The 26,275-nt window shown below is 37.4% G+C and overlaps 1 protein-coding gene and 1 pseudogene across 11 annotated transcripts in view, besides 1 other annotated feature; one reads left to right on the top strand and one right to left on the bottom strand.

Annotated features, from left to right (window-relative positions):
* The window catches only part of FRMD5 (FERM domain containing 5), a 328,710-nt gene that overhangs the window by 115,941 nt on the left and 186,494 nt on the right, over window positions 1–26,275 (top strand). The gene's annotated exons all lie outside the window — the stretch shown is intronic.
* Window positions 17,008–17,302: a silencer, noted in NCBI's record as "tiled region #1582; HepG2 Repressive non-DNase unmatched - State 12:CtcfO, and K562 Repressive DNase unmatched - State 12:CtcfO". NCBI's record gives its function as "represses a minimal TATA promoter and a strong SV40 promoter by Sharpr-MPRA in HepG2 and K562 cells {active_cell/tissue: HepG2 | K562}" and the evidence as "EXISTENCE:reporter gene assay evidence [ECO:0000049][PMID:27701403]".
* On the bottom strand, window positions 19,224–20,089 carry GAPDHP55 (glyceraldehyde 3 phosphate dehydrogenase pseudogene 55; annotated as a pseudogene).

Below are 26,275 nucleotides of genomic sequence, written 5' to 3'. Positions count from 1 at the left end.
GCTCGGCTAGGTGTATATCAGCCAGTAGTGAAGCTTGAGCAGGATCACAGAGGTTAGAAACAATTGTTCCAGACTATGAATGGACAGCAATTCTGTCCTCCAAATTTAAACACATAGCATTAAAATATTACAATTAGTAACCATGCAAGACTGGCATGAGAAAATGAAATCTAATCTTGATCCTTGTTTTAAATATTTTAAGAGGAGTTTATCAAATAAATTTTCTTGCTTTAGTGGATGCATTTAGAAGAAATGGGACCATATAGATTTGTCCTGTGAGATTACATGTCTTCATCTTCTTCCTAGCATACCAAAGAGAGTAGGATATTTGCATATTTCCAGTTCTCTTTTCACTTTCTAAAAATCACATGAAATATCCTGTGATATTTATATATGACCACTGAGGTCCAAAGGTAAAAGAAGGGCATTTTAATCTGTCTTTTAAGGCATATAATCAGAAAGTGTTTGAGAAGCTTGTCATGAATTATGAGCACTTTCAGTGAATCACGTACAGAGTATTTTCAGCACAAAATCCTGTGAAATTTAGGTTCATAATTGCATCACACTCCTTTGGTACCATTGTTGGAGTCAGAATTCACTTGGGAAAACACTGACTTAATTGGCAAACTTTATCTCTTCTTCCTTCAGTACACCTGCAAAGTGCTTATCATAATAGGAATTATGCTTGTTCCAAGGAGAAGCTATCCTTGTGAATTAGCCAATTAGCTAGTGTTTCATATCTTATCTTTCATTCCCAAGCCTGTGATTTTTTTCCTCTAAGTACCAACATTTATTTGTGAGCTTGCAAATTGAAATGTATGTATTCCTTTCCTTGACATCTCATCACTGTGTAATATGACCTTCAGCTATGCTTTTAGGAAATGATTATGTATGTCTGAGTTAAAAAAATATCTTCAGACTGTTTGTGGAAACTGATTTTTTAAAACAAATTTTAAAGGAACTTCCTGTCTCATAGAATTTCTTGGCATATAAAACAAGGGAGTCTTCAATAGAAATGAAAGAATACTGAATGCAATTTGTACAAAACAGCATATTTGGCTGTCAATTATGGACAAAATCACCAGAAATCAAACACCTGGTCTCTCCAGGGAGGAGGACTGATTGTCACATAGCAAGAATACTGGCTGACCTAGCATAGTTCAATATATGGGGTGGAGAGTATCTCACCACCAGAAAAGTCATTTGAGAATACATTTAAAAATATATTAGTTTGGTTTTGCCAGTGCAGACTTATTCTCGATTAGCAGATAGAGTGTTTTTGAAGGAGATTTGCTGCAACCTTTAAACTCAACTTTTCCCCTCTGTGTTCCGATATGAGCTAGTGGCGTATGGGGACCCTTACCTTTGTTTTGTAGAGTTAATGTGAGCAAGAAAGAATTTGTGTGAAATTTTGAACAGTCATAAGAATTTTGGTATTTATAAAAATAAAAAATTCAATTTATTTTTGAAAATAAATTGTTCTACTGTCCCTAAAGTACCAAGAAAATGAAAGAATTTTTGGGAAAAGCAGGTCTCAGAATAATTTCACAGCCAATTGCCATTTCTTGGATCATGAAAGGCCTTAGGATATTGGTGTTGACGTTTTGGGTTCACTTTTCTTCTTCATTGTCCTCTGAGGCTGTCTATATGTAGCAGATGGACCAGATTGTGGCACAGCTGACCTGTTAATTTTCACTATTTCCATTATTAGAAACTTTCACTGGTTATGTCGCAATTTACATTAGCCACAAAAATGGCCAAAATGGGTAGATTTTTAAATTACCTTGTAAGCTATTCATTTATGGCCCCAAAATGCAGACAAAATGTCAGTTCAGAATTTTATTTGAGGAGGATATAAATCAGTTTGAACAATAATTTTAAATACATATTAATAATTCTTTTTATTAATCCTCTGAGTTCCAAAGCACAGAGAAAGAATCCCATAGGATCTCAGTAAACGTGAAATATAAGTAAACGACTGGACCATAGTTCATTTTTGTGTGTGAAAGAATATAACTTGTGTCTTCCTGGTGTTTATTATTTCTGGCTTGTTACTGGATTCCACCTAAAAGTTTCTGTTTCCTGAAATAGTTGATCCCAGATCTCTTTATGAATCACAATGCCGATTTGCTTTTCTTTCTGTATGTGTAACAGAGAACTTTGTGGTAACACATAGACTTTCCCAAGTTCATAGTTGAGGATTTTAAGCAGTCAGTAAAGACAGAAAATTAAAGGAGAGAAAATCCAGAACAAGCTGTTCAAAACTAATCAGTAGGAAATTATGTAAACTTAATTAACTAGGGCATCAAGGGAAGGGCTATGGAGTGTAATGAATTTTTTTTAGAAATGAGGCAAAGCAGCCAAACTAAAATAGGGTTAGTTGAAGTGTTCCCAAAAGGGAAGGAGGGAATATCCTTCCTGCATAAGGAGCCTTCCTTGACCTCCTGCCTTATTTTTGGCTGTGAATCTCTATGCCATGATCCTCAGTGGGGTAGGTATGCAAGGAGAGTATGGTGCCAAATGAACAACAACAAAAAAAATCTCATTTGTATTATTTATTGAATGATGCTCATATAGTAAAATGGAGACTGAAATATAGGCATTATGGCCTAGTCGCAAACCTCTGACCTTCCATTTGCAAATGAACCAAAATGATTAGCCAAGATTTAGAGGAAATTCATAAATTTCACATCTAGGTAGACCAGCTGGAGAAAGACTTGAGGGTTCTCTGTCTAGGACTCAATTCAGTTCAATTTTTAAAAAATTTATTGAAGACCTACCTGTTCTGTTAAAAATGATGTGCTAATGCTGCATGGAACAAATAGCTGAGTGAGGTGTTTCATTGCCTTTTAAGAGTGTATAATCTATTATGGAGAAAGAGACAAGTATACAAACAATAAGCATACCAGAAAGTGGTACAAAATAATACTCCTATGTCTGAAGACTCCTAAACGTCTTTTCCTAGTCTCATTTTCTCTTGTAAGCCCCAGATCTGAGTAGTCAACTGCCTTTTGGACCTCTCCCATCAACTTTTGAGTAGAGAAATGTAAACTTTCCATTTCTGATTACTTCAAAGGTAGATTTAGAAATGTAGATACACATACAAAAATGGAGTGTTTTCTCAAAGCTATCATTTATTTGGGTTGCAAATGTAGAATTCAGGTGTTTTAGGCACACACGAGAACTGATCATTGTTATATATACGTACATAATCCCATATACCTACAAACCCTTTATGACAAGGACAGATTGTAAAACACAGTACTGTCAAATTTTGGAAGACAAAGAATGCATATATGAACTCTTAATTTAAAATTGGGTTTGGAAATTCAAACAAAATTAAAGGAGATAAAAAGTTTTATTTTCTTATTCCTTTATAGCCTCAGTCACATGCTTCACTTTTTTTAGTTGTGGTAAAATATATATATAACATAAGCATTTTAACCATTTTTAGGTATAAAGTACAGTGGCATTAACAACATTCACATTGTTGTGCTAACATCACTGCCATTCATCCCCAGCACTTTTAAATCTTCCCAAACTGAAACTCTGTATCCATTAAATAGTAGCTCCCCATTCTATTTTCTGTCTCTGTGAATTTATTCTAGATACCTCATATAAGTGTAATCATACAATATTCGTCCTTTTGTGTCTGGCTTATTCCACCAAGAATAGTGTTGTCAAGGTCCATCCATCTTGTAGCATGAGTTAGAATTGCCTTCCTTTTTAAGACTGAATAATATTCCATTTCCTTTCAAGGCTGAGCAATATTCCATTTTGTGTATATACCACATTTTGTTTATCCATCAGTCAATGGACATTTGGATTGTTTCCACTATTTGCCTATTGTGAATAATACTGCTATGAACATGGGTGTACAAATATCCATTGAAGTCCCTGCTTTCAGTTCTTTTGGGTATATACCCAGAAGTGCAATTGCTAGATCATATGGGTATAGTTATCATATGGGTATACTTACCCAGATGGGTTTTGTTTTATTGTTTAAGAGACAAGTTCAATGTTGCCCAGGCTGGCCTTGAACTCCTTGGCTCCAATGGATCATCTTGCTTCAGCCTTCCACTTAGTTGGGACTACAGGCCAGGTAGACCAGCACCCAGCTCAATTGCTGGATCATATGATACTTTTATGTTTACTTTTTTGAGGAGCCACTATACTATTTTCCACAGTGGCTGCACCATTTTACATTCCCACGAGGAAAGTGCAGGCATTCTAATTTCTCCATATCCTTGACAACATTTGTTACCTTGTTTTGGGTTTTTTTTTGATAATAGTCATCCAAATAGGTGTGAAGTGGTATCTCACTGTAATTTTGATTTGCATTTTCCTAATGGATTAGTGATTTTGAATATCTTTTCGTGTGCTTATTGGCCATCTGTTTATCTTTGATGGAGAAATATCTATTCAAGTCCTTTACCTATTTTTTAATTGGGATGTTTTTTGTTATTGGGTTATAGGAGTTCTCTATATATCTGAATGTCAATTGCTTATTAGATATGTGATTTGCAAATATTTTCTCCCATTCTGTGGCTTGCCTTTTACTCTGTTGATTATGTCCTTTGGCAGACTTTGATAGTGCCCTTTGTTAATTTTGATGAAGTCCAATTTATCTGTTTTTGCTTTGGTGGTCTAAGAAATTTCCAAATCTAATGGCATGAAATTTTTTCCCTATGTTTTCTTCTAAGAGTTTTATAGTTTGGGCTCCTATATGTAGATCTTTGATGCACTTTGAATTAATTTTTGTATATTGTATAACATAAGGATCCAAGTTTATTCTTTTGCATGTGGATATCCCAAAGCCATTTGTTGAAAAGACTTCCTTTACCCATTAAATGGTCTTGGCATTCTTGTTGAAAAATAATTTGGCCATTGGCTTATTTCTCATAGCATAATGTTTTATTTCTGGGCTCTATTTTATTCCTTTGGTCTATATGTCTGTTCTTATGCAGTACAGTACCACACTGTTTTGATTATGGTAGCTTTCTAGTAAGTTTTGAAATCAGGAAATGTGAGACATCAATTTGCTTTTCTTTTATAAGATTGTTTTGACTCTGGGATTCTTGAGATTCTATGTGAATTATAGGACAGTAACATACTTTTACTTGTGGTCTTTGAAGTATTTTATAGGAAGTCCTCTATGACATTTTTATATAAAAACTCCTTTTGAAGTAATCCTCTCTAGTTCATCTAAGTTTAGGATAAATGGCAGGGTCTGATAATTTAAGCCAGTATAGGGCTACATGGTATTATTTAAACCCTTAGGGGGAATAAAAGATTACAGGATAAAGAATTTGAAAAGATATTTTCTTTGTAGAGAAAAAGAAGGAAACCACATTTGAAAAAACAGTTATCATGCCTTTTGAATTTTTTAAAAGTTTGATTGGAAAGCATTCAGCTATTCAGCATTTGCCTTTAGCAAAGGTTTTAGATTGACTCCCCTCCCACCCATTCTCAATAATCTTATTTTTTGCTTTGTAAATGAATAAGCTTTGGGGATTTTATTCTGCAATGTATAAGATATGTATGTAATATAGACATAAAAAATATACATAGTTTAACCACTTTAACAAGCTGTAAAAATCCAAATCTTCAGGGGCTACCTTTTGTTATTTAAGGATGTATAAATCATGAGAGCTTTTAGATAAGTCCTTCTCATCTTCATGAGCTTCATGTAATCTAGCACAGTTACTTTCCATAGCAGATGTTTGATAATTGTTTTTTAGTGAAATTTTAATAAGAATTTTATGTCTGTTTTTTCTTGTTCAATAATAGGTAGTATTTGAAGGAACTTTTCTGGCTTAGTTACTTCATACATCCAGTCACTTCGTTTCCTCCCCTATCTGTTTGAAGGAAAGGTGCTTACTAAATTTGTTAGTGATCACATTTTTTTGAATTTTCTGGATTCACTCATTTTTATTAAAAGGTAAAAAGTTAGTATTTTCCCATCAATATTTGTATTTATTTGAATTATCAAATTTCTTTTGCTTTGAACTTAAGCATGCTGCAGTCATTGTTGTCTTCTTTTTTAATCTTGCAGTTATTTATCATTTCTTTTTGTAATCTCTTACAGTTTTGGTTTAGTTTTTTGACAATGCAGTTGAATATATTCTCCATGTGTTTAAGAACATTTTAAATAAGTGCCCATTTCTTTGTAATGATTTTTCTCAGAAACAAACAAATCCTCAAGCTACTCTAGTAATATTCCTACTCCAGAGTAGTACACCATAGCTCTTGAGAAGAAAAGGAAAAATAATAGTTTCTGTGTGTTTTAAGTGGAAAGTAGTTTCTTTGATTTACATGAACATTAAGGCATGATAGGTAATGACAATTTATTCCTAAAATGTATTCAGTTACCCATTGACATGGATATGTCATAACCTGTTATGCTTGACTTATAGATTTCCCCAGGGAAAATGTTCCAAGAGAGTGAGCAAAAGAAATGTTTTCTGGGGAAAGTATCAAGGCGAGAGTGTTGTTATTTCAGACATCACAACATTTCCCTATAGCAGTCTATATCCAAGAATAAATCTGTGCTAGCCAAGCAGATGAATCTGGCATTTCTGAGAATACATGTGATGGTTGAATTGAGATTTTTGGTAACAACTGTGGGTCACTCTAAGATACCCATTTCTGGACATCTCAGACTGAGAGATGACTATAAGAGGTATCATTTTAAGTCTGGAGACCAGAAAGCCTCTATACTTGTTCATAGAGCTTTTTTTTTTTCTTTTCTTTTTTATTATTATAATTTAAGTTTTAGGGTACATGTGCACATTGTGCAGGTTAGTTACATATGTATACATGTGCCATGCTGGTGCACTGCACCCACTAACTCATCATCTAGCATTAGGTATATCTCCCAATGCTATCCCTCCCCCCTCCCCCCACCCCACAACAGTCCCCAGAGTGTGATGTTCCCCTTCCTGTGTCCATGTGATCTCATAGTTCAATTCCCACCTATGAGTGAGAATATGCAGTATATGGTTTTTTGTTCTTGCGATAGTTTACTGAGAATGATGATTTCCAATTTCATCCATGTCCCTACAAAGGACATGAACTCATCATTTTTTATGGCTGCATAGTATTCCATGGTGTATATGTGCCACATTTTCTTAATCCAGTCTATCATTGTTGGACATTTGGGTTGGTTCCAAGTCTTTGCTATTGTGAATAATGCCACAATAAACATACGTGTGCATGTGTCTTTATAGCAGCATGATTTATAGTCCTTTGGGTATGTACCCAGTAATGGGATGGCTGGGTCAAATGGTATTTCTAGTTCTAGATCCCTGAGGAATTGCCACACTGACTTCCACAATGGTTGAACTAGTTTACAGTCCCACCAACAGTGTAAAAGTGTTACTATTTCTCCACATCCTCTCCAGCACCTGTTGTTTCCTGACTTTTTAATGGGAGAAAATTTTCGCAACCTACTCATCTGACAAAGGGCTAATATCCAGAATCTACAATGAACTCAAACAAATTTACAAGAAAAAAACAAACAACCCCATCAAAAAGTGGGCGAAGGACACGAACAGACACTTCTCAAAAGAAGACATTTATGCAGCCAAAAAACACATGAAAAAATGCTCATCATCACTGGCCATCAGAGAAATGCAAATCAAAACCACAATGAGATACCATCTCACACCAGTTAGAATGGCAATCATAGAGCTTTTCATTTATCTGAGTGTTTTCCTCTGCTTGTCGGGACTTGTGCTTTCACGAGCTCCTGCTCTCATATCAGGGGAGTGAATAATTGAATTTGGATAGTTTTTTGGTTTTTAGTTGGAACACTCCTTTTCCTGTGGAACGTCTATAGAAAAAATGAGTCAAACAGAGAATATGCAGGGGAGGCAACTCTGAATGCTTCCATGGCTACATACATACCTGTTTTCTTTGATTTGCTAAACCCTAAGTTAAAAGGAAAGTACTGTCTAAAATAGGGAGAAATTCCCTATATTTATACCATCATTTGAGTATTTACAATGGAGTGTTTTGTATTATAAATGTCAAAAAGGTTGAGACAGGACTCACTTAAATTAAGAGGGGAAACTTTTTTTTAATGATGGAAATAGGGGCTTAATAAACTTACATCTCCTTAACTCCTTTAATATTTGTAATAAACTATGACTGTTCAAGAGTTGAGCAGTCTCTTGTTTGAAGAAATTTATTCATTTTCCTTCAAAATTGGCACCACTTTAGAATTTCCAGTTGAGATCTATTTGGCTAAGACCTCATTTCCCATCCAATTCATTAAAATTGTTGATGTTCAAGCCAGGGAGAGGATATTTTCTGGGTCTACTTATGATGGCTCTGTATCAAACCAGCCATGTTTAGAAACCCTCCAAGGCCTATGTGATTTTTTAAAAAGAAATTTATTATGTGGAATGAAGAAGCAAACATGTTCTATTTTATACTATTCAGAGCCAAGTAATCAGCCATTTCCCTCAGGAGTCACTTGTGCTAAGAGCTGGCCTGGACCGGGAAAGGCACTGTAATGGCTGCTCATCACCCAGAGCTGCCCAAGCACTAGCTTCACCTTATAGCTCAGAGGGACCCCAATGGTCTTTTCCTTAGTGCTTAGGTTATTAGTACTAGACCTCTGAAATGCAGACCTAAGAAATGCCTGGTGATGGCACTAAAGCTGACGTCACTATGAAAAGCAGGCAGGAGGTATTGTACCCCTTGTGAGGAAGTTTAAAAGTTTCTTATAGCAACTAACTTCTCCATTAACAAATAAATAGACCTTCCATAGCAGCTAGAAGGTACCTCATCCCCTTTATTGAACTGTGGCCATGGACTTCTCAATGATATCCCTGTAACCCTAAGACCTAGTGAAAAACCTGGTACAGGAAAAAGTATACAGTAAATATTAGATGAAGAATAGGCAGGAGAATCACTTGAACCCGGGGGGTGAGGTGCGGAGGTTGCAGTGAGCCAAGATGGTGCCACTGCACTCCAGCCTGGGCGACAGAGCAAAACTCTGTCTCAAGAAAAAAAAAACAAAAAAAAAATTCAGCTCTGTGATTTCCATTTTTTCTCCTGCCAAAGATCATGTTAATTATTTCTGTTTCTCATGGCCTCCATATTTTGAAATATTTATTATTCTCTATTGATTAAATAATAATTCATTTGTTTCCTAATTTTACTGACCAAAGCCAACCAGGACTTCTGGTCAATATGAGAAAATTACAGTTGGTTAGCTGCAGCTCAGAAAAAAGAAAAAAAAGATATTTGTGTAACAAATAAGCTTTTTGAAATAAAAATAACTTCCAGGCCCAATTATTACTTTGGGGGGGCTTCTATGATTCTGAACACGCAGACTAAAAATCAATAATATTGTCTAAACTACTCATTTTATAGATAAACATGGTAATGCTTCAGGAGTTAGGTAGAAATGACTTACCTGCAAAGCCAAACTAATTGATTCCCAGTTCAGAGTCTATTTAGGATGGATATATAGGATAGGGCTTGGAGAGGGTATTCTAGAATGAGGCCTTAAGTTCTTGGCTCCTTTTTAAGAATACATGGTGTTGGATTACTGTTAACATAAATTTGGACAGAATTTATGGATAGAATCCCATTTAACAAATACTGTATTATATCTAGTTATATATAATGTCATTACATATCCCCATGATCTAACTCACAGTTCATACCAATGTTTTATTGTCGTAAGCTGCAAAATTCTATTAGATTTTAAAAATTTCATATGAATAGGTGTCATAGAGGACTTGTTTTTGTCTGGGAAGGATGTGGGAACCCCCTCCTTATGGCCCCAGGAGAGGGAATGGCTTGAGAGTGCATGTTATTAACTTGAGATCAGGACTAGGCATCCATTAGAGAGTGACCCTTGTGGGCAGTGGGATCAGCCTTTGTAAGGCCTATAAAGAAAACCAAGGATGAAACTATGCAGTCAGGGCCAGGTCAAGGATTTGAAGTGGATCAAGATTCCTATGTCCATGATGTTTTGCATTTCTGCTATTATTAACATGTCAGAATATAATAGGTAGTCAGTATAATTTGATTGTTCCAAAAAAAATTAATTACAAGTCCTTATCCATTTAGCAGGCAGTCTTCAAATTAATATATTAATCCATTTGCTACAGCACTTATGGACAATAATTATATGCAAACACCCACATCATTATAAATATTAGTAATTAACTTTAAGGTGTTTGGGCTGAATATTAAGTTTGCTCTTATACACGTATGTTTTTGTGTGCAGAGTGTCTGGAAGGGTCAAGAAAAGGAATTTGAAACTCTGGAACAGGCAAATAAACAGGAAATCATGCAATAGGGAGAGGAATACGTAAGATTTACCTGAAATATGGACTTTTACTATTTTTTATCTTAAAATTTTTAGTTTTGTTTCTTTAGAGACAGTTTTGCTTTGTTACCCAGGCTGGAGTGCAGTGGCATGATCAATAGCTCACTCTAACCTTTAACTCCCAGGCTCTGGCAACCCTCCTGCCTCAGCCTCCCAAGTAGCAGGAACTTCCAGTGTGTGCCACCATGCCCAACTATTAAAAACATTTTTTAAAAATTGAGATGGGGTCTTACTATGTTGCCCAGGTTGGTCTTGAACTCCTGACCTTGAGAAATTCTCCCACCTTGGCTTCCCAAAGTGCTGGCATTATAGGTGTGAGCCACTGTGTCCAGCCTTGATCTTTCATTTTATTCAGGTATAAAACATAGATAATGGAAAACACAGTTTGTTTTTTTTTATTGCTAGCGCAAATTTGGGACAATTTTATCTTTGAAAGGGACAATATTTGCCATCTAGAATCATAATCCAATTAGTTGAAAGAGTTTCTTTCAATCTGAGCACAGTCTTCATATGAATATTAGTATGACATAAAGGAATACAGCATGGTATGTTCTGGTGTCCTACAAAAGCAAAAACATCCAGAACTTTCCACTGGAAGGCTTCATAATGGAGGTAAGCAGTAATAATTCTAAAGCATTTTAAAGCTGGTTAAATTGTCTGTAACAGCAAATTTTTATAGTAATCTTTTTTTTCCACCTTGAGAGGGCAAGGTAGTCTAGCTGTGTTTCAAAATCTCTTACTGTATTAACAAGGGAGAATCATTTGCTGTTATAACAAGTAGCAAAAAGGTACAAACATTTATATGGTAGTGTGGAGTGGGTTCTTTTCTATCAGGCAGTTCCAACACACTGAGAGGCATACCCTGTTCCTTATTTTGACTGTTGTACGTCATACTTAGAAACTGTTAAGTTTTAGAATCTTTAAAAAAGAACTTACGAGGTCGATAGGTCTAAAGCATGTTTTGTCTGTTTGTACAATCAGAACCCTTAAGAAAAATTTTAAAGTTTTAAGAACTCGGCTGGGTGGGGTGGCTCACACCTGTAATCCCAGCACTTTGGGAGGCCAAGGTGGGTGGATCACCTGAGGTCAAGAGTTAGAGACCAGCCTGGCCAACATGGTGAAACCACGTCTCTGCTAAAAATACAAAAATTAGCCAGGCATGGTGGTGGGCGCCTGTAATCCCAGCTATTCAAGAGGCTGAGGCAGGAGAATCACTTGGACCCAGGAGGCAGAGGTTGCAGTGAGCCGAGATTGCACCACTCCACTCCAGCCTGGGTGACAGAGCAAGATTCCGTCTCAGCATCAATAGTAAGGAAACATTTTTTGTATACAAGCACTTGTGTATATAGTGGAATATTAAACGATTTTAAAAATATTTTCTTAATTATTAAGAATATAGTCAATGTACTTTGACTAATGCAATGAATAACACAAGAGTCCAATGTAGCTTCATAGGCTGAAATGATGGAAGAGATGGAAAAGAGTACATTAACCATAAATAAACATAAAATCATGAACTTAGGTTCAAAAAATCAACTCTGGATACCCATGATAGAGAACACAGCATTTTATGGGAAGAGACCCCAAGTTTATAATTAGCTGTAAGCTCACCGTAAAGCAAGGTGGTAAAATGTTAGTCCCAAATGCTTAAACTAAATTGTATTAAGTAGGGAGGAGAGAGTTTTATAGTACACTTGACTACTGTTGCCAGAACTTTAGTTTGTTTTGTTTTGTTTTGTTTTGTTTTGTTTTGTTTAGACAGGGTCTTGCTTTGTCACCCAGGCTGGAGTGCAGTGGCACCATCATGGCTCACTGCATCCTTGACCTCCTGGGATCCGATGATCTTCCTCCTCAGCCTCCCTGAGTGCTGGGATTACAGGTGTGAGAACTTTAGTTTTGTGTTCTATTCTGGGCATCAAATTTTAAGAAAGATGCTAACCAGCTAGGGTGTACTCAGAGGAAGGCACCAAGTGGATGTGGGGACTGAAAACTGACCTGGGAGGATGAATCAGAATAACTGGGCAAAGACATAAGTAAAAGTATAGCTCTTGCTTCTGGGAGAAGAAAGCCTGAGAGATTATTTGATCTGAAATCCTGACTTTCAAGTTGAGGAAGCAGGCTCAGAGAGATGTGTCTTGGGTCACATGAAGAGAGAGGAGCAGACTACAGACTAGTTTCCAAATATGCCAGGCAATGGGATAGCAGGTGCCAAACATGTGATATGCTGTGCAGAAGAGGGGCCAGACCTTTTTTGGCAGCTTAAAAAGGCAGAACCAAGACTAACGTTTGAAAGTTACAGAGATGATTTGGGACAAAAATCGAAGGAACAACTTTCTAGCCATTGTAGCTGCCTAACATTGGAATGGATTGCCTTGAAAAGCAGTGAGTTACCTATCAGTAGCTATGTTCAGGTAAAGGTTGGATAGGATGTTAAGAATGTTGTTGAGTGATTCCTTTCATGCAGGAAATGTTGGACTACATAAGTTAATTACTCTAGCCCCTTTTGATTATTAATAATAGCAAACATTTATTGAGCTTATGGAGCTACCATGTCAAGTGTGGCGTATATATCATCTCTTTGATTCTTATAATATTTGAGGAAGCTGAGGCTCCACAGATTACTTATCTGAGGTCACACAGTATTGGTGAGGTGAGATTCAAATCTGGAGGTAGTTTTGCTAACTTATGTGCTATAGCTGCAGATCTCTAATTCACATAACTATTAGTTAGATCCATTCTTTTGTGATTTGTTCTTTAAGCTTTTGTTCAAGCATTATTTGTTCAAGCATTCTGGAACAGAAGCAGACTCTCAATGAGAGGGCCTAGCTTGCATTAGAGGATCTGCCTTTTTTTTTTTTCTTATTTTTATTTTATAAATAAGGTTTTGGTCTGTCACCCAGGCTGGTCTTGAACTCCTAGACTCAAGCAATCTTCCCACCTTGGCCTCCCAAAGAGCTAGGATTACAAGCATGAGCCACTGCACCCAGCCCTGGTTTCCTATGGGTTTCAGGTATCATTAATTTACCCTTTGAGGCACTTATGCCATCACATTCCCTTGAGAATAAATCCTCTGGAAATGGTTAGCCATTTGTAGTTCCTAAGCCATTTCAATAGTGGTAGAAGTAATATTAAATTACCATTTGTCATTAAGAGACCTTGTGTTCCCAAATCTCCTTACTTTGTATACATTTAAAAAATTTCCTTAGTAGTTATTATAATCCTCTTATGAATATGAAAACTGCATGCCAGATTTTGATTTGTCTTGCCTCCCCCTTAACCTGAGCTATTTTTTAAAAATTAAACTGAGATAATTGTAGATTTACATGCAGTTGTAAGAAATAATACAAAGAGGAGAGCCTATGTATCTTTTACCCAGTTTTTCCCTATGGTAACATCTTGCAAAACTGCAGCACAATATCATAGTCAAGATACTGACAATGATGCTTGCAGTCAGGATGTAGAACATTTCCGTCACCATGATGATCCCTCCTATTGCCTTTTATAGACACCTCTCACCCTCTCATCCTTGACACTTGGCAACTACTAATCCTTTCCCCATTTCTATAATTTAGTCATCTCAAGAATGTCATATAAATTGAATCATACCATTTATAACCTTTTGGGATTTTTTTCACTCCACATAATTTCCTGAAGATTAATGTAGGTTGTTGAGTGTATCAACAGTTTTTTTTTTATTGCTGAGTAGTATTCCATGGTATAACAGTTTGTTTAACCTTTACCTGTTGAAGTACATCTGGATTGCTTCCAGTTTTCAGCTATTATGAATAAAGCTGTTATGAACATTTGTGTAAAGGTTTTTGTGTGAGCATAGGTTTTCATTTCTTTGGGATAAATGCCTAGGAATGTAATGCTAGGTTATGTGGTAGTTTCATGTTTAGATTTGTAAGAAACTGCCAAACTGTTTCCCAGAGTGGCTGTACCATTTTACATTCCCACTGACAATGTGTGAATAATTCAGTTTCTTTGCATCCTTGCCAGCATTTGGTGTTGTCACTATTTTTTATTTTAGCCATCCTGATAGGTGTGTAGTGATATTTCATGGTTTTAAGTTGCCTTTCCTTAATGCTAATGTTATTGAACATCTTTTCATGTACTTATTTGCCATCAGTATATCCTCTTTGGTGAAATGTCTTTGTATGTCTTTTGCCTATTTTCTAATTGGATTGTTTGTGTTTTTATTATTGGATTTTGAAAGAGCCTGGGCTTTATAGATATCAATTTCAGCAATGTGCTATTCATTCCTTGACTCTGCCTTCCTGCCTTCCCAATACCTTATTCACAGTAACCCTCACATCTGACTTCTATGATGTGTTGTAGCCTGAGAAAATCATGATTCCATTCTGAATAGATCTGGAACAAAATACAGGTCATCTAAACTTGCTAGCAATCTTTTCAACACAAGATTCACATGTCATAAAATTTGCCTGTTTAAAGTATACAAATCAGTGGGTTTTAGTATTCATAAAGTTGTACAAACATCACCAGTATGTAATTTCAGAACATTTTTATCACTGCAAAAAAGGAATCTCGTACCCATTAGCAGTCACTCTGCACTCTCCCATTTTCCCATTCCCTCAGCCCCTGGAAACCACTAATCTGCTTTCTTTCTCTATCAAATTGCCTATTGTGGACATTTCATATAAACGGAATTCTGCACTAAGTGGCCTTTTGTGTCTGGCTTTTTTCATTTAGCATAATGTTTTAAAGATTCATCCATACTGCAGCATGTATTAATGTTAGTACTTCATTTTTATGGCAAATAATATTCAATTATATGGATATCCCACATTTTCTTTACTCATTCATCAAGTGATAGACATTTAAGTTGCTTCCACTTTTTGGCTATCATGTATAATGCTGCTATGAACATTTGTGCGCAAGTTTGTGTGGCTATATGTTTTCATTTCTCTTGGGTATATAGGAATGAAATTAATTGCTGGGTTATATGGTAACTCTATATTTAACTGTTTGAGAAACTGCCAAACTGTTTCCCAAAATGGCTGAACCATTTTATATTACCACCAGCAATATGTGAGAGTTCCAGTTTCTTTGCACTCTTAGCAACACTTGTTATTTTTTATTATGTCCATTTGTGTTTTTTACTATGACCATCCTGGTAGGTAAGGAATAGTTCACTGTGTTTTTGATTTGCATTTCTTTAATGATAAATGATGTTGAGCATCTTTACATGTGCTTATTGGCCATTTGTATTTACTTGAAGAAATATCTGTTTCAATCTTTGCCTATTTTTAAATTGCATTATTTGGTTTTTCATTGCTGAGTTTTAAGAGTTCTTTGTATATTCTGGGTGCCAGATGATTATCAGATATCAAATTTGCAAATATTTTCTCTCATTCTGTGGGTTGTGTTTTCACTTTTTTGGTAGTGTCTGCTATGGTCTGAATGTTGATATTTCCCTCAAATTTATATATTGGAAATAATCCCCAATGCTGTAGTATTAAGAGTTGGGGCCTTTAGGCGTGATTAGGTCATGAGGGCTCCACCATCATGAATGGGATTAGTATGCCTATAAAAGAGGCTCAAGGGGCTTGTCTCTGCCCTCCACCCTCTGAGGATGCAGCAACACGGCATGATCCATGAGGAACAGGCCCTCACCAGACACCAAATCTGCTGGTGCCTTGATCTTGGACTTCTAGCTTCCAGAACTGTAAGCAATAAATTATACTGTTTATAAACTACTCAGTCTATGGTATTTTGTTATAGCAGCCTAACACTGATTAAGTCAGTGTCCTCTGAAGCACAAAAGTCTTTACATTTTGAATATGACCATTTTAACTATTTTTTATTTGGTTGCATTTACTTTGGTGTCTAAGCAATATTTTAACCAGTACTTTTTTGCTCATGATTATATCCCTCTCAATGTCTTTTCTAAGTACACCTAATTCATGGCACATACCTAGTCTCTCCCCAGTTCTCCATGCAAATGAGCTTGCCTCCTATTCTCTGAGAAAGTTGAGATTATTTGCCATAAATTCTTCAACTTCCTCTGTCTCAATAAGTTTCCATGTATTTTCACTCTTTTCCCTTTTATACTCTCTTTCTTTTGAATTACGGGAATTTTCCTTTTCAAAATGAATACCTCCACCTGGTCCATTCCATCCCTCTTCTTCTTGGACTTTAATTCAGTGATTGATCTTTTTCTCCCCACTAGCATCAATAATATTTTGTTCTCTACTAATCTTTCTTTTCTGCCTTCATACAATCTCAGGTCTTTGTTGCCCCTTTAAGGAAAAGAACTGAGGGGGAGCTTTGCCCAATTTTATTTTTCCTTTAAGCTACCAACCTCTCTGACTCCTTCCCTTTACTTTTAATCTTGAAAGAGCAGTTTCACTTCGTCTAAAATATTGTAGTAACCCTCTCAGTGGCCTCCAACTCCAAAGTCTCCCCTTGGACTCTTCTTACACACTTTCTATCAGATGAATCTTCCCAAAGTAAAGTTCTTATCACCTAACTCTCCTGCCTAAAAACTTTGATGACTCATTTAATATCGAGTTATCTATAGGACCTCCCAGCCTAATATTCAAAGCCCTTCATAACATGTTCTCTCAACTCTGATAGATCTGAACAACTCATTTTTCCGTGAACACCCCCTTGCCACTAGTTTCCTGCGTAATGCCTTTTCCCCAGAATGCCTGTCTTCCTTCAGTTCTTCCTATGGAAATTCTGTGTAAAATTTAAATGCCTTGAAGTCTCTGTTGATCATCTCTTCCCCTTCCACCAGAGGGCGCTCTCCAATCTTTGAATCCCTATCACATCGTAAACGACTGTGTGGCCCTTACTATTTGACCTCGTATTATAGCTTTTGAAAGTAGATTGTGAATTCTGTGAAGGCAGAGACTTACCTATCTGTGGACCTCTCCAGCAGCCACCCAGAGCTAGTAGAGCTAGTAGGTATTTCTTGAATTGATTTATTGAATTGAGTATTTCTTGAATTATTTTGATTTAAATTGAAAACAAGAACCTGGACACCTACATCTGTGGAGAAAAATCTTGAAAAGATAAAGCAGAAAACATGGGGTAGACAGTGGGAGGTGAAACTGAGAAGGTAATTTATGCTTTAGCTTTACAGCAAATCAGAGCACCTGGAGTTGAAAACCTCATTTTTCTGAATGTCAGTTTTGTTTTTGAAAAACAATCAGTGCATAGCATATTTACTCTTTAATCTCAAAACATTAAGAGTAAAAAAAAAGTGGAACTGGTTGAGTAAAATGATATAAAGTCACCTTATCTGACAAACTGTATCATCTGTTTTGAATGAAGGCCCTAGAATTGTTGTGAAGGATGTCATGTTCATCTCCCAATTATGGAGATAAAAAGTAATGAGTGCAGGAACTTTGTAAACTCTAAAGCACTGCATATAAGTTGACCTTTAAAGTTAAAAATATTTCTTACAAAATGTAGGTCAGTTTATATGCTTATTGACTACTGTTAGCTGGTTGGTAGGTGGTAGCAGTCTCTCAGCTGGCTCTTTAAGGATGGGTGGGTCATGAAATCAATATCATGACCAAAATCAATATATTCTCAAGGATAAACCCAGTCCCAAACTTTTATATTAAACTGTCTAAGTCAACCTGTGTACTAGATCGTACTCAACCTCCATCATATGCATAGTGTTATTAACTCTGTTGAGTGTTCAAATGACACTAAATCGATTAAATATTTACCTGTTTGGGTTGGGTGACTTAAAGTGATTTTGTTTTATTAACTTTCAGGTCTTAATAGGAAAATGATACTCTTCATTATTTTTCCTTCCTTCATTACCCCTTCCTTTTGGGCTTTTTGAATTGATTTCTAAATTGTAAGTTCTTGAAAGCTGAGAAACTGTGCCATATATTTTTGTAAACCCTAGTCCTACCAGGACCTCTTTACCATTATAATTATTCAGTAGTACCAATAGTGATAATCCTTAATATTTATTGAGTGCTTACTAAGGGGTAGACACTATACTAAGTACTGTATATTCATTATTTCGTTTAATTCTCATAGCAACTTTGTGAGTTATTTCAAAGGAAGAAATGGGACTTAAATAATTTGCCCAAGGTCACACATTGCATAGGTGGCTGAGCCAAGATTGGAACCCAGGTGGTCTGACTCCAGAGCCTGTGCTCTTAACCGCTACACTATCTTCTTTAATAAATGTCTATTCTCAGTGATGCTAGTTAGAACCAAGCTGTGTGCATGGCATATGTGCAGTGACATCCTGTCTATGTTTTTATTGTGTAATATACCCATGATACTGTGAGCCCACAGCTGGTGTCCATTAATGATAATGGTGTGGGAATTCAAAAATAATTTCCAGAGCATCTTGAGTACAAGACATAATTTTCATTTTTCAGTGATCTTTAAATTCTGGGACTTAAAAGGGACTTGTTATTTGGTTACCCAAAATAGTTTTCTTCCTTTTCTGAAAGTTGGATTTGAAATGGAGGTAATATAAGACTACAGTGTGCTTTCTGATATTATTTCAGTAGGATTTTTTCACTTTTATTTTTTCTAAGCTCCTCTAAAGGGGGAGGTAGAGGCAATGTGTTTTGTTTTGTTTTGTTTTTTTGAGACAGAGTTCACTCTTGTCGCCCAAGATGGAGTGCAATGACGAGATCTCGGCTCATCACACCCTCCGCATCCCGAGTTCAAGCAATTCTCCTGCCTCAGCCTCCAGAGTACCTGGATTACAGGCATGCGCCACCACGCCCAGCTAATTTTGTATTTTTAGTAGGGACGGGGTTTCTCAATGTTGGTCAGGCTGGTCTTGAACTCCTGACCTCAGCTGATCCACCCACCTCGTCTTCCCAAAGTGCTAGAATTACAGGCATGAGTTTTACTGCACGTAGCCTGTTTCACTACCTTCTTGATGTCATTATATTTGCCAGGTTTCTCTAGATAGCAGATCAGATCCATGACTGACAGACACAGTGGTGGTGGGAGACATGGAAGATCATGCCAGTGACCTTCCTGTTCAGCTCAGGGATGACCTTACCCACAGCCTTGTCAGTGCCAGTAGATGCAAGCATGATGTTCTGGAAAATTCCACAGCCATTGTGCCATAGTTTCCCAGAGGGGCCATCCACAGTCTTCTGGGTGTCCGTGATGGCATGGACTGTGGTCATGAATTCTTCCATGATGCCAGAATTGTCATGGATGACCTTGGCCAGGGGAACTGAGCAATTGGTGGTACAGGAGGCATTACTGACAATCTTGAGGCCGTTTTTGTACTTCTCATGGTTCACACCCATTACAAACATGGGGACGTCGACAGAGGGGGCAGAGATGATGACCTTTTTGGTTCCCCCGTCTAAATGAGTCCCAGCCTTCTTCATGGTAGTGAAGACACCAGTGGACTCCATGATGTAATTAGTGCCAGCATCACCCCATTTGATTTTGGTGGGATCTCTCTCTTGGAAGATGATGATGGCATTTCCATTGATGACAAGTTTCCCATTCTCAGGCTTGATGATGCTGTGGAACTTGCTATGGGTGGAATCATACTAGAACATGTAGACCATGTAGTTGAGGTCAACAAAGGGATCATTGATGGCAACAATATCCACTTTGCCAGAGTTAAAAGCAGCCCTGGTGACCAGGTGACCAGTACAACTAAATTCATTTACCCTGGCCTTCACCTTCACCATGGTGTCCCAGGGGTGCAGCTGGCCCTGCACAAGAAGATGCTGTTGTCAAACGGGAGGAGCAGAAAGCCTAATTTTCAAAATATTTATTTGAAAAATTGTTTTATACATTGGTGGACTTTAGACTGTTTTATATTAAAATACATAAATACATGAATAAATTTATGCTAATAAATTTGACAACTGAAATGACATTTCTTGAGAGACATAAACAACCAAAGCTCACCCAGGAAGAAAAAGATAACTGGAGTAGTCCTATGTCTTTTAAAGAAATTTAATTAATGGTTTAAAATCTCAAAACCAAAAATAAAACTGTATTCCTAGATAGATTTACTTATACGTTGTACTAGTTCTATACAAACTCTTCCTAGCTGGCTTTTTTAAAAAAGAAGCTGACAAACTGAAATCATGTGGAAATGGAAAGAACGTAGAATAGCCAAAACAATTTTGAAAAAGAAAAGGCTGGAGATTTCACTGTCATTGATTTTAAGTTTAAAGCACCAGTAATCAAAATTGTATGGTTTAGGCTTAAGGATAGATATATTCATCAGTGAAACAGAATAGAGAGTCCAGAAATGGACCCACATATATACAGTCAATTGATTTTTTTTAACAAAGGTACCAAGGAAAAATTGGATATCCTTGTGCAATAACCTCAACCTTTATCATACTCCTTATACAAAAAAAATTACAGTAGTCCCTCTGTATCTGGGGGGGATTGGTTCCAGGACCCATTGAGGATACCAAAATCCCTTATATAAATGGTATAGTATTTGCATGTAACCTATGTACATTCTCCCATATACTTTTTTTTTTTTTTTTTTGAGACAGAGTCTCACTCTGTTGCCCAGGCTGGGGTACAGTGGTGCAATCTTAGCTCACTGCAGCCTCTGCCTCCCAGGTTCAAGCAGTTCTCTGCCTCAGCTTCCCGAGTAGCTGGGATTATAGGCACCCACCACCATGCCTGGCTAATTTTTGTATTTTTAGTAGAGACGGGGTTTCACCATGTTGGCCAGGCTGGTTTCGAACTCTTGGTCTCAAGTGATCCGCCTGCCTTGGTCTCCTAAAGTGCTGGGATTACAGGCATGAGCCACAGCGCCCAGCCTGTAGCTACTAACTTTTGAAGTAATACTGATACTTCTTCAGAAAGACCGTGTCTTCTAGTTTTAATATTGGAAGTAACATCTCTGTGGTCCCCATGGTGGATACAGTATTTTGTGTGGTATACATATTCATAATCAACTTACTTGAGAAGGAAATTTGGGACTTAAATTTTTATAAACATGAACTTTTTAAAGTTTATTGCTGCCAAAAATGTTTATTGCAAAGTAAAAAGGCATCACCACACAAGAAAATAAAGTCTTTATTTACATCAGGAAAATAAATGACAAAATCACTGTGAAAGAGTATACAGACTACTATCTAAATATGTTGCAGCAAGGCTGTTCAGATTGTATTTCCTGCACTTGTATCTAACCTACAATTTCTCACATTTCCCACTGACCTCACTATCTGGAAGCCTAGCAGCTTTGTGCATCTCACAAAAGACATGGTCAGGAAGAATGAACTGTCCCTAGCCACTCATGTACCTGTACACTTCATTTGTTCAGCAAGCATGTGCATGCCATCTTTGAAAGAGAAGTATTACGTCCGGTATCAGAAAATGGTGGGGGAAAGTGATTGCTGGCCGTATTTCAGATTTAACACCATATGGGAAATGTTAATGCATCTCGCCATTAGAAAAGACCATGACAAAGGCTGGAAATTTAAAGCAAAGATCCTGCAACATTCATAACCACCCACCCCAGCTTATTTTAATGCAACGAGTAATAATAGTTTTTGAAAAGTTAACATTCTGATTCAAATGTCAAATGTCAAACTTTATGGACTTCCCTGACAGCAGCAGGTAAATTGGACTGGCATAACAAACTGGGATGAGTAGTTACACATTTATGGCCTATATCAGAAGCTCTAAACAATTCAAAGCATAAAGGGTAATGATAATAGTCCAGCCAAAGGGCCAGACTAATAGTGAGAGACCACTGGCCGCCCTTTATTGCTAAAAAGCAGTAATCTTGGTGAAGCTTGGGAGAACCCTACACTTTTCTTTAGGACTGAGGCTGTGAGAGCATCCATGGACATTACAGTTTGTCTACTTTAAGCCCAGACTGAAACCATAATCTCTCCCAAATGCATTGAGACTTGTCCCTGAAATCTGCCCCTAGATTTTGACTGTGAAGGAGTCAGAGTTAAGTAACTATGATATTGAGAAAAGCTGGAATGTCTAGGTTGTGGGAAGTGAGAGAAAAGAGAATATAATGATAAAATTGCATCTGTAAATCACATAAGAGTAGGGAGTCAGGAAGGACATAGGATTTCCCCATTGATGTATCTTTGTGTCAAGAGCTGAAAAATGTAGGAGGGTACTGCCTTACTCTTCTGAGCTAATCAAAAGCAGCAGCAAGTACACAGTGAAATAAGATTTAGTTGTTAAGTGGCAGAGAAGAGTGTTACAGTTTGAAAGTTTATGTTGTATACTAGACATTATGTCTAAGTACTGTGGAGGATAGAGAGACAAATAAGAAACAGTTTCCTCCTGTTCACTGAGCCTATATATTTTTAAGGGATATAAAATGTTTGCACACAGGGGCCTGTCTCAGTTCCTCTCTTAGAGCTCAAGCCCTTAATCCAAGTATTCTCAGATTCAGATGTGAGGAATAAGTTAGTGTGCCAGGGATTTTTTTCCTTTTTCATTATTTTATGTAATTAAGTGGCTTCTCACCTTTTCTTTTTTTAGGCAGTCGTCATAGAATTATCATTTCTGCCCTCTTGTTCCATTATGGAATGAAATTTCTGTTGTCCTAGGTCATCAGTGCCTAAGCCATTTGGGGACTAAAAAAATAAGTGTGCTGTATAGTTGAGGATTTTATTATTTCTGCCCCAAATATTTTGACTTTAATTTTGAAGGGAATATTTCTAAGATGTACCTTTTTAAACAGAGAATGTTTATCTTACTTTAATCTATTGTTGATTCAAGGTCATGTTTAGGAATGTCAGTGTTCTGTGTTGTAGATATATATGGTGCAGGGCATGAAGCTGAATGATTTAATTTGTCACTGTAGAGCTCAGCACTGTCACAGCCCCTTCTCCCCTGGGCCCTTGAACTGCCTTGGTTTTCACGCTTCTGGGTATCCACCTAGTGTGGATACTAAGGAGCATGTCCTTAGGCACTCTTTGCATGCTGTCTTCCCTCGCTGCCTTCAAGGGCTGCTTATGAGCTGGTAACTCTTTGTTGGATTAGGCTGTAGAATGAGTTTCTTTTCTCCCTCTTTTGTAACTGGCTTTCTTATGTGCCAGTGTCTGCTACTTGCAACCTTGCTGCCTACTCTGTCATCATTTCCAACCTCTGCTTCTGCTTCTAATCTCTGTTCTATCTGACAGCTCTCTCCACTTACCTTCTTGTCTTCTCCTTTGTGTCGTACACATTGTCAGCAGATTGGAAGAAGGCTTTTCCTACAAATAGCCAGTGCAGCTCTTTAGCACTTTTGGCTATTTTTGTTGCCAGGTGTTCAGGGACTTGATCTGAAACTTAAATACTATTTTTTAAAGGTGTTTCTGAATTTGAAACCAGGGATTTGTCCAGAAACCTGTCTCTATATAAATGAAGTTTTACTTTACCTTATAAAATATAGTGACCCTAGCTGGGTGCAGTGGCTCACACCTGTAATCCCAGCACTTTGGGAGGCTGAGGCAGGTGGATCACGAGGTCAGGAGATAGAGACCATTCTGGCTAACACGGTGAAACCCCGTCTCTACTAAAAATACAAAAAAAAAATTAGCTGGGCGTGGTGGTGTGCGGCTGTAGTCCCAGCTACTGAGGAGACTGAGGCAGGAGAATCGTTTGAACCCAGGAGGCAGAGGTTGCAATGAGCCAAGATTGTGCCACTGCACTCCAGTCTGGGTAAGAGAGCGAGACTCCATCTCAAAAAAGAAAGAAAGAAATATAGTGACCCATACTAAGAATATCTCTTGTTTTAAATAAGAGTAGAATAATTTAGTTTTTGTATTTATTATCCAGCATATTGGCTTGGTATTCTCAGATGTTTAAGGCCCAGAGAAAATTCTAGTTCTTCTATGAAGGCTTTCTTTACCCTTCTAGAACCTATGCAGACTCTATCATAGCATTTATTCACCTGGCCTTGAAATGTGCATGTTCTGTCCCTTAAAGGCTCTTTGAAATCGAGGAGGGGGTGGGAATCTATTTATATCATCTTTATATTTCCCTCTTTACTACAGCTCTTAAGATAATACCTTGTATATCATAGCTTTCTCCAAAATGTTCTGTTGAGTTGAATAATCCGCTCACTCCCAGGTCCCTTCTGTAGTTTGTGATTGATGCTAGTTGAGGGTTCTTCACACCAAATGTGTCATCTTGCATTTGCTCACATTAAAACTTCTCTGCCAGTTGCACAGGTTCCTAAGTTTTTCCTGTTATTTGTCCTCAAAGATCCTGGCTCTTTGTTGCTTGGGGAAATTTAGTGTCAAACAGAAATAAAGTTACTATATGCTTCCCCTTCCAGAGCCATTTAAAAGATAAAATCTTTAAAAATGCTCTGTTCTTACAGAAAAATGCCTATTTGTTCCTCACACATTTTTGCTTCTGAGCCAGTTCATTCCCCACAATAAAACAGCCCCATTTCTTCTTCTTCTTCTTTTTTTTTTTTTTTTGAGACGGAGTCTCACTCTGTCGCCCAGGCTGGAGTGCAGTGGCGCAATCTCGGCTCACTGCAAGCTCCACCTTCCAGGTTCACGCCATTCTCCTGCCTCAGCCTCCTGAGTAGCTGGGACTACAGGCACCCGCCACCACGCCTGGCTAATTTTTTGTATTTTTAGTAGAGACGGGGTTTCACTGTGTTAGCCAGGATGGTCTCGATCTCCCGACGTTGTGATCTGCCCACCTCGGCCTCCCAAAGCCCATTACTTTTAAAAAGAGCTTTACTGAGATATAATTTACACATCATACAATTTATCTATTTAAAGTACATAATTCAGTGGCTTTAAGCTTATTCACGGAGTTGTACAACCATCACCACAATATAATTTTAGAACATTTCATGACTTCCAAAAGAAACCTCATGCCCCTTAGCAGTCACTCCACAGTTCCCCAGCTTCCGGTCTGAGGCAAACCACAAATCTACTTTCTGTCTCTATAGATTTGCCAATGCTGGACATTTCATATAAACATAATTATACCTACCATGTGTGGTCTTTTGTGACTGGCTTCCTTCACTTGATACTGCTTGATATTTGTTTTTTTGAAATATTCTTGTATTTATAACTTCTCCTCAGAACAGATGTGGTCTTGTAATTCTCATAAGTCCTTCTGTGGCCTGGTTTTATTGGATTTGTGAGATTTGGTTAAGTTGCAGAATATACTGTTACACGTCAAATAACATTGGCTGCTGATGATAATGAAAATGGCCCTGTTTCAGAGCTAAGATTAGGTTATAGATGTATTTCATAAAGCTGATCCAAACTATGGATGTGGTCAAATGAATTGGGATATATAGGACTCCATGGTTTTCACACTGACCCATTTTCTAATGGGTTATTTGAGGCTTTGAGGTTTTTAATTCCTAAGGATCATAAAGCGCTGGAACTGGAAGGGACCCAGCAGTCATGAAGCTTAGTCCCTCTTCTCTAACTCCTATCCCATTTTACAGAATTCAGAATGTTCATTGTTCAAGATCAAATAGTTAATTAATAACAGAACCAATTATAGCAAAATTAGAACTAATGTGTGTCGATTCCTAATCCAAGGTTCTTTACTTCCTTTTGGATTTTGTTGCTGTTGTATCCTGGGTTCTCTAGAAACAAGAGCCTGACTGGAAATTAAGTGAAGCTTTATTTGGTGGTACAATTTCAGAAGAGTAAGAGTGAAGGAAAAGAGATGAGAAGTGAGAAGCTTTGAGAAGCAAAGCAAGGCGATTAGATTACCATGTTAGCAATTGTGTCATGATGATCCTCAAAGAGACACAGCTGGTTATTCAGCAAGTACATATGCTTGACCATGTGCAATATCTCCAGATAGGATAGATAGAACAGTTCAGCCAGGCGTGGTGGCTCACGCCAGTAATCCCAGCACTTTGGGAGGCTGAGGCAGGTGGATCACTTGAGGTCAGGAGTTCAAGACCAGCCTGGCCAACTTGGTGAAACCCCGTCTCTACTAAAAATACAAAAATTAGCCAGGCGTGGT

This window comes from Homo sapiens, chromosome 15, assembly GCF_000001405.40.
Source record: "Homo sapiens chromosome 15, GRCh38.p14 Primary Assembly".
Taxonomy (NCBI): Eukaryota; Metazoa; Chordata; class Mammalia; order Primates; family Hominidae; genus Homo; species Homo sapiens.
The sequence above is the reverse complement of the archived record's forward strand: the minus strand, read 5'-3'. Positions and strand labels throughout refer to the sequence as shown.